The 8909-nt window shown below is 42.8% G+C and overlaps 2 annotated features.

Annotated features, from left to right (window-relative positions):
- Positions 4111-4611: an enhancer, noted in NCBI's record as "H3K4me1 hESC enhancer chr3:181503691-181504191 (GRCh37/hg19 assembly coordinates)". NCBI's record gives its function as "activates a minimal SCP1, AML or CMV promoter by ChIP-STARR-seq in primed H9 embryonic stem cells {active_cell/tissue: H9 hESC(primed)}" and the evidence as "EXISTENCE:reporter gene assay evidence [ECO:0000049][PMID:30033119]".
- Positions 8025-8537: an enhancer, noted in NCBI's record as "H3K27ac-H3K4me1 hESC enhancer chr3:181499765-181500277 (GRCh37/hg19 assembly coordinates)". NCBI's record gives its function as "activates a minimal SCP1, AML or CMV promoter by ChIP-STARR-seq in primed H9 embryonic stem cells {active_cell/tissue: H9 hESC(primed)}" and the evidence as "EXISTENCE:reporter gene assay evidence [ECO:0000049][PMID:30033119]".

Genomic DNA, 8909 nt, shown 5'->3' with positions numbered 1-8909 from the left:
CTCCCGGGTTCACATCGTTCTCCTGCCTCAGCCTCTCGAGGAGCTGGGACTACAGGCGCCCGCCACCACACCCGGCTAACATTTTGTATTTTCAGTAGGGACGGGGTTTCACCGTGTTAGCCAGGATGGTCTCGATCTCCTGACCTCGTGATCCGCCCACCTCACCCTCCCAAAGTGCTGGGATTACAGGCGTGAGCCACCGCGCCCGGCCACCTGGGGACTTTTAAGAAACAATTCTGATGGCCGGGTCTCACCTGCAGAGGTTCTATCATTAGCCTGGGATACGGCTTGGGTCTCAGTATTTTTAAAAATCAGCAGAGCTTGAGGATCATTGTTTTAAAGCATGCCAATTTCAAATTTAGGCCTTAGACAGATTATGATAAAAGAAATTGCCCTTTGGCCTGGCACGGTGGTTCACACCTTTAATCCCAACACTTTGGGAGGCTGAAGCAGGAGGATCCCTTAAGGTCAGGAGTTTGAGACCAGCCTGGCCGACATAGTGAGACCCCTGTTTCTACAAAAAGAAAATTTTATTTTATTTTTTTTTTTTTGGAGACAGAGTCTCGCTCTGTCGCCCAGGCTGGAGTGCAGTGGCGCGATCTCGGCTCACTGCAAGCTCCGCCTCCCGGGTTCACGCCATTCTCCTGCCTCAGACTCCCAAGTAGCTGGGACTGCAGGCACCTGCCACCATGCCCGGCTAATTTTTGTATTTTCAGTAGAGACGGGGTTTCACCGTGTTAGCCAGGATGGTCTTGAGCTCCTGACCTCGTGATCCACCCGCCTTGGCCTCCCCCAAAAAAATTTTTTTAAATTGCTAGTCATGGTAGTTGTTCACCTGTAGTCTTAGCGCCTCAGAAGGCTGAGGCTGGAGAATTGCCTAAGCCCAGTAATTTAAGGCTGCAATGAGCTATGATTGTGCCAGCACACTCCAGCCTGGTTGATAGTGTAAGGTCCTGTCTAGAAAAACAACAACAACAACAACAACACCTCATCTGAGCTGAAAAATTAATTGAAAAAAGGGAAGAGTTCTTCTTGATGTTCCTGATTATTCTGTTGTCATTTAAAACAATTGACTAGCCATTTATTTATTTCATGATTTATTTTTGTGTGTGTGTGATGCAGTTTCACTCTTCTTGCCCAGGCTGGAGTGCAATGGCACAATCTCGGCTCACTGTAACCTCTGCCTCCTGGGTTCAAGTGATTCTCCACCCTCAGTGTCACAAGTAGCTGGGATTACAGGTGTGTGCCACCACGCCCAGCTAATTTTTGTATTTTTAGTAGAGATGGAGTTTCTCCATGTTGGTCAGGCTGGTCTCTAATGCCTGACTTCAGGTGATCCGCCTGCCTCGGCCTCCCAAAGTGCTGGGATTACAGGTGTCAGTCACCGCATCCCGTGTATTTCGTGATGATTTGTAATCACTTTTTTTTCTGCCTTTTGGATGGTAGACATCAGAAACTTTACATCCGATCAACACCAAACAGGTGTGGGAATAAATGTCATGCTGTTTCCTTGCCTCTTAGGCCTGCTACCGAAGAGGAGTGGAAAACTCAGTTTTCTGGTTTGACTCTAGTGAGATGGCCCATTCAAAGAGAGTAGCCCATACACAGGACCAGCGATTGTGGCCAGGCAGGAATGTGGGCCCAGAGTCTTCAGATCTTCCCATTTTTTCAAGAGAAACCAGAAATCATCATCTTTATGTGAAATTTCCAGTTTCTTAATGTTGGCAAGTAATTAAATTGTGGGTAATCAAAACACATCTGCCAACCAAATGGAAGCTGCCACTCTGCAACTTCTGGCCTAGAAGGCACTTCATCTTATCTTCACTCAGCTAATGACTACTCAGCTTTCAACACTCAGTTCTGGAGACAGTTCCTTTGAAAAAACTTCCCTGGCCACCCCTCCTCGACACTACCCCTTTACCCCTAGCCTGCTGCTCCAACTCTGAGCACTCAAGTATATCTCCTAAGCTTACTTCCCTCCAGTGTGATGTGTGTCTGTCTCCCCTAAGAGACTGCCTGATACTGGAGGGCTGAGATGGTGTCTTAGCACATTTATTTTTGGAATGTATGTCAGTTCCAAACTGGATACTAACTCAGCAAACAAATGTTCATTAAATACTTACTATGGGCTGAGCACGGTGGCTCACACCTGCAATCCCAGGACTTTGGGAGGCCGAGGTGGGCAGATCACCTGAGGTCAAGAGTTCGAGACCAGCCTGACCAACACGGAGATATCCCATCTCTACTAAAAATACAAAATTAGCCAAGCTTGGTGGCGCACACCTGCGATCCCAGCTACTCGGGAGGCTGAGGTAAGAGAATTGCTTGAACCCGGGAGGCGGAGGTTGTGGTGAGCCAAGATCGCAGCATTGCACTCCAGCCTGGGCAACAAGAGCAAGACTCTGTCTCAATAAATAAATAAATAAATTCTTACTATGTGTATATATAAAAATTCAACAGCACTTTGGGAGGCTGAGGTGGGTGGATCACCTGAGGTCAGGAGTTTGAGACCAGCCTAGTCAATGTGATGAAACCCCATCTCTACTAAAAATAGAAAAAGCCTGGTGCGGTGGCTCATGCCTGTAATCTCAGCACTTTGGGAGGCCGAGGCAGGCGGATCACCTGAGGTCAGGAGTTTGAGACCAGCCTGGCCAACATGGTGAAACCCTGTCTTTACTAAAAGTACAAAAAATTAGCCGGGCGTCATGGCGGGCGCTTGTAATCCCAGCTAATCGGGAAGCTGAGGCAGGAGAATCACTTGAACCCGGGAGACAGAGGTTGCAATGAGCCAGGATCACGCCATTGCACTCCAGCCTGGGCGACAAGAGTGAGACTCCGTCTCAAAAAAAAAAAAAAAAAAAAAAAAATTAGCTGGGTGTGGTGGTGGGCATCTGTAATCCCAGCTACTTGGGAGGCTGAGGCAAGAGAATTGCTTGAACCTGGGAGGCAGAGGTTGCAGTGAGCCAAGACCACACCATTGCACTCCAGCCTGGGCAACAAGAGCAAAACTCTTGTCTCTGAAAAAAGAAAAAAAATTTCAACAAATTCAAACTGTGGCCTGTTAGGAACATAAATTAAGAATGTAAACACTAGGAAAAAGTTTTCCATCTCCAAATAGATGCCATTATCTTTGCACATTGTATCTCCTCCCAGATTTAATTCACTTATGAGCATCATCAGAATGTCTCCATAAGAGGGCCAGGCCGGGCGCGGTGGCTCACGCCTGTAACCCCAGCATTTTGGGAGGCCGAGGCGGGTGGATCACGAGGTCCACCTGGGAGGCGGAGGTTGCAGTGAGCTGAGATCGGGCCACTGCACTACAGCCTGGCGACAGAGCAAGACTCCGTCTCAAAAAAAAAAAAAAGAATGTCTCCATAAGAGGATCATTATTCCTCAAAGAGAGTCAAGTAACTTGCAGAAGGTCACATAGGTGGCACCTTGAACCCAGGTTGGCTTCAAAGGCCACTCTCTCAACTAAGCTTATCTTTGATCATTTTATATTTAACTGGGAATAATAATATTAATAGAACCTGCCTTAAAGGGTTGTTGTAAGGATTAATTATGCCAACATCTCTACACCGTGCTGGGTCATTACTATTACTCATGACTTAACATAGTACCTCTAAAGAACCCGGTGTATTACCATCTTTCAAATGAGGGTCCAAGGTCAACCATCAAGGTCTCTCTGCTAGGAGGTTGCAGAGCCGAGATTTAAACATGAATCTGCCACCAAGTCCATCACTTTGCCAGTTACACTAGAGAAAAATCAACCCAGTCCCCCTAAATGTTTGCCAAACTGCCAATGCTTAAAACTCACTCCCACACATTAGGCTTTTACTACTCGCCTTAACCGGTATCCAAATACAAATAAATTCCTTTTATCTTTATATTAATAAAAATAAAAGCTAACGTTATTGAGTTCTGTGTTCTCAACCTTCTACTAAGCATGTGCCTTTCATTATCTTCTTTAATCTCTATGAGGCATGCATTATTATTTTCAGATGAGGAAATTAAGACCCAGAAGTTTAAGTAACTTGCCCAAAGACACAAAGTAGTGTTTAAGCCTAGACTCTGACTCCAAAGCCAATAAGGGTTCTTAACCTCTCGGGCAGCCATTGAGATTTCCCAGACCACTACAATGTCATTAAAACTAATGATAATCACATTACAAACCAACTTACTAACTCTTTATTGTATTACCATCAACTCATAAAAGAAAGAACATGCTAACACAAAAACTGTTGAGAGGCCATAATCTCAGAGTAAAATAATTAAATACATTTTATGAAAAGTTTCAGACTCTTTAACTTTTCCATATGTACTGGTGGAAGCTTTGTCTTCACCACTGCCTCTCTGCTACTGTCTTTTTCTTGTCCTTTCCTGCTTAGTCACTGCCAGTGCCACCACTCCACCATTTCTTCTCCTTAACATTCTATTTATTCTTTCATTTAGAGCTGGGATAATTGTCCCACAATTAGCACTGGAATCATTTGGCCTGGGAGAAGAAAGCCCTGGGAGAGAAAGTGGGGGTGGTCCAACCTAGGCAATGGGGAAAAGGCTCGGTAGCCAAGGACAGGGGTGGCTGTCCATGCTGCATGCACAGTCAAAAAGAGAGGTGCTGGCTGGGCGCAGTGGCTCACGCCTGTAATCCCAGCACTTTGGGAGGCCGAGGCAGGCAGATCAACAGAGGTCAGCAGTTCGAAATCAGTCTGGCCAACATGGTGAAACCCTGTCTCTACTAAAAATCAGCTGGGCATAGTAGCAGATGCCTGTAATCCCAGCTACAGCTACTTGGGAGGCTGAGGCGGGAGAATCGCTTGAACCCAGGAGCAGAGGTTGCAGTGAGCTGAGATCACACCATTGCACTCCAGCCTGGGCGACAAGAGCGAGACTCCATTTAAAAAAAAAAAAAAAAAAAAAAAAGGAGATGCCATGGAGCACTGTGGTATGTGATGCAGAGTTTAGGAAAAAGAAGGATGAAAAAGGACAGGCAAAAGGACAAAGTGCTTCTCTAACTCTACCTTCTTAACACTCAGACAGAGAGAAGAAGTAGGCCGATGGCAAGAAGAAGTCATGTTGACAAAGCAAAGGATGTTTTCATTGTACTGACAACTCTCCACAGGTACCACTCAGGTAGAAAGTATGACCTAGGATCCAAATTCAGTCTATCTGACTGCAAAGTCTGGGCATGTTTCCCCATGCCACAACAGACATGCCCAAAGTGAAAAGGATAAGAAATGTTAAGGCCAGAATTAGAACCCAGGACCTTTGACTTCTTATCACTCTGTTTCCATGATACAAACTGTAATTCCCACAGCTGAGTCAGGCCACACTTCAAAACAATGCTAGATTTAGTATCAGCAATTGTATCCCCGATGACTCCTCATTTTTGCCTGATCAAGAGCATAGGTGATCAAGAAGGAAAAGGCAAGAGAAAGAAAAATGTGGAAAAGAAGAAAGTTGGAGGCCCAAAGAATGTTCTAAGATGAGGAGACTGACAAATTCCCTCGCCAATTGTCTCCAGAACATAACACGCTGTGGTATTCACACCGTACGTGACACTGTGCTAACCACCATCACAGTCATTTTAAACAGTTTGCATTTTGAACAGTGTGCTTTTGAGACTCTTAGTAAATGCAACCATTCTCTTATTCCTTGAGATTAATAAACTTATTTATGATGAACCTCATTCTCAATGGGGGACATACCTGACAGATCTAATTATCTATAAAAAGAAGGCAGTACACAATTGCTTAAAGAATAAATAACTTTAGTGAAGAGCAGAAGCAAAGCATGAGGAGGAACAGGTCCCAGTAGCCCTGGTTGGAAAACACAATTTGCCAAAATCTCAAAAATGGGTAGTCGTGTTTTGTGCAACTAATACATAGAAGGATATTTAACCTGGAGTATCTCTTTTAGTGAGTTTTTCTACTAGCACATTAGCAAGACAGGTGTTTGGTGGGTCTTTTTGGAGGGGAGTAGACAAATGTAGAGAAAAAGAAAAGCTAAAAAAGGAAGTCTAAACCTGCATTCTCTTGTATCAGGAAATGTTCATGTATTTTACGCCCAATCTGTGTTGACCCTATTTGGCTTGTAGTCAATGCAAGCAGCATCTGACCTGCGGAAGTTAATTCTACAGAGTAATGGAATTGAGTTAGCAAGGCTTCATCCTATTACCTTCTGATAAAAAAATTAATTCTTTTTTTTCTCTCTCTCACAGTGAGTCCCTGACACTTCTAACTATTTGTGTTGCTAGTGAAAATAACTGGATTCAAAATTCAACTACTTTTCCTGAAACTCTTTAGTGCGTTTAAGGGCATTTTATTTCTTTTCACTGAACATTTTATTTTCCCTACTAACTAAAATAATAAAATGTATACATAGGGACATGGGCAGGAGTTGACGTGGGTTTTTTTTGTTTTTTTTTTTGTTTGTTTTTTTTTGAGACGGAGTCTCACTCTGTTGCCCAGGCTGAAGTGCAGTGGTGTGATCTCGGCTCACTGCAAGCTCCGCCTCCTGGGTTCACGCCATTCTCCTGCCTCAGCCTCCCGAGTAGCTGGGACTACAGGTGCCCGCCACCATGCCCGGCTAGTTTTATTTATTTATTTATTTATTTTGTATTTTTAGTAGAGACGGGGTTTCACCGTGTTAGCCAGGATGGTCTCGATCTCCTAACCTTGTGATCCGCCTGCCTCGTCGTCCCAAAGTGCTGGGATTCCAGGTGTGGGCCACCGTGCCCGGCGTATTTTTATTTTTATTTTTTAGCTCATCAGCTATTGTTAGCATTAGTGTATTTTATGTGTGGCCCAAGACTATTCTTCTTCCATTGTGGCCCAGGGAAGCCAAAATATTGGACACCTCTGTCTTAGATACAAGTAAACAACCAAGGCTGAAAAAAAAAAAAGGCCTTTAACATTAAAACAGTAAGTGAATCAAATGAATAGAAGAAAGCAACTTGAGTGAAACAAAGATTATACAATAAAAATAAAAACCCAAAATATTTGAATACCATCAGGTAAAATATTGCAGTTATGAAACAAGGACAAAATATTATTTTTAATGAACATTTAGAAAACAAAAAGGAATTATTGGAAATTAAAAAATATGAAAAAGGCAATAGAAGACTGGACAATAAAACTAGTCCTGAAAGTAAAGCAAAAAGACAAAGAGTTAGAAAATAGAAAAGCAAAGGTAAAATTAAAAGACAACCCTGAAGATATGATATCCAAAGAACAGGAGTTCCAAAAACTAAATAAATATAAATAAAATAGAAACTTACAAGGAAATAATTTTAAAATTATACCTAGTCCAGAGGATATGAGTTTTCAGATTCAAAAGGATTTACTGGGTATCCAACAAAAAGGATGAAAACAAACCCAGACTAAGGCATATCATAGAAAAATATAATATCATGGAGATGAAAAGGTCTTACAAGCTTCCAGAGAAAGAAAAAAAAGTCACAACAAAAGATATCCAGACTTTTTAATAACAACACTGGAAGTTAGAAAGCAAAAGAATAATGTCCTCAAAATTCTAAAGGAAAATGATTACTAACACGGAACTTTATATCTAACAAAACTTTTATCATGTATGATGGTAGGGAAAAAAAAAGACATTTTGGGAATTACAAGTTTTCAAAACATTTACTTGTCTTCTTCCCTTTCTCAGAAAGCTATTAGAATGTTGTCAGTAAACCAGAAAGAGGAAGCAATGGATACAGGAAGCAGAATTCACACAGGGACTGTTAAAGGGAAATTCCAGAGCGATAGTGAAGGGAATCTCTGAGAGCAGCTAGTCCAAGGTGGGACACATCATAAAGCTCCAGGAGAGAATCTTCAGGGAGATAAAATTGGGAGACTATGTGATGTGTCTGAACATCCTAAGAGAATACAAATACCAAAGAGCACACATTGAACTAATGATTAAAATAAAACCCAGAAAAGAAAAACAAAGCAAAAGGAAAAAATAAAATAATTATCAGGGAAACAAAAGTTGTATAAGAAAGAAAAAGCAATGTCATGGTTTACAGTATGACTCAGCTGTGAAGAATCATTGTGATGTAAACCCTAATGCTGACCAGGCAAAAATTATGACATAAGAATGTTGGAAGGAGAGGGGGACAGGGAGTGTGGTATGGACAGGGGTGTGGGAGAGGCAGGGAGAAAGAGAATTAACCTCCTCTTCTGCAGTGGGAAGTTATTTTTTGGCACCTAAAACTGAAAAATGAAGAAGTTAGCAATATAGACATGTTATATAGAAACATAAAAGCAAACATGAAAAGCACACACAGATACATGACAGCAATTGCCTCTGGAGAGGGGGATGCAGGAGACAGGGAGGTAGAGAATCACTGCTTTTCCTCATCAACCTTGTGGAACCTTATTTTATTTTTTATTTTTTGAGACCGCCGCTCTGTCGCCCAGGCTGGAGTGCAGTGGCGCCATCTCAGCTCACTGCAACCTCCGCCTCCCAGATTCAAGCAATTCTCCGCCTCAGCCTCTGGGATTACAGGTGCCCGCCACCATGCGTAGCTAATTTTTATATTTTTGGTAGTGATGGGGTTTCACCATCTTGACTAGGCTGGTCTCCAACTCCTGACCTCGTGATCCACCCGCCTCAGCCTCCCAAAGTGCTGGGATTACAGGCATGAGCCACCGCACCTGACCCCTTTTTGTACTTTAAACTGCAGCCATATATTACTTTGATGCAAGCATAAAAAAAAAATCTAAAAAGTGTAAAAAGGAGTGAGTGGCTGGCTTTTGGAGCTCTACATATTTAGGTTAGAATCTCACTGCAGCAGTAACCTGGATCGGACCTTGTGTAACTTCCTTAACCTCTCGGAGCCTGCTTGTTTCCATCTGTTAAATTGGGACAATGGCAGTTGTGAGGATTAAATGAGGTTTAATGTG

This window comes from Homo sapiens, chromosome 3 (assembly GCF_000001405.40).
Source record: "Homo sapiens chromosome 3, GRCh38.p14 Primary Assembly".
Lineage (NCBI taxonomy): Eukaryota > Metazoa > Chordata > Mammalia > Primates > Hominidae > Homo > Homo sapiens.
The sequence above is the reverse complement of the archived record's forward strand: the minus strand, read 5'-3'. Positions and strand labels throughout refer to the sequence as shown.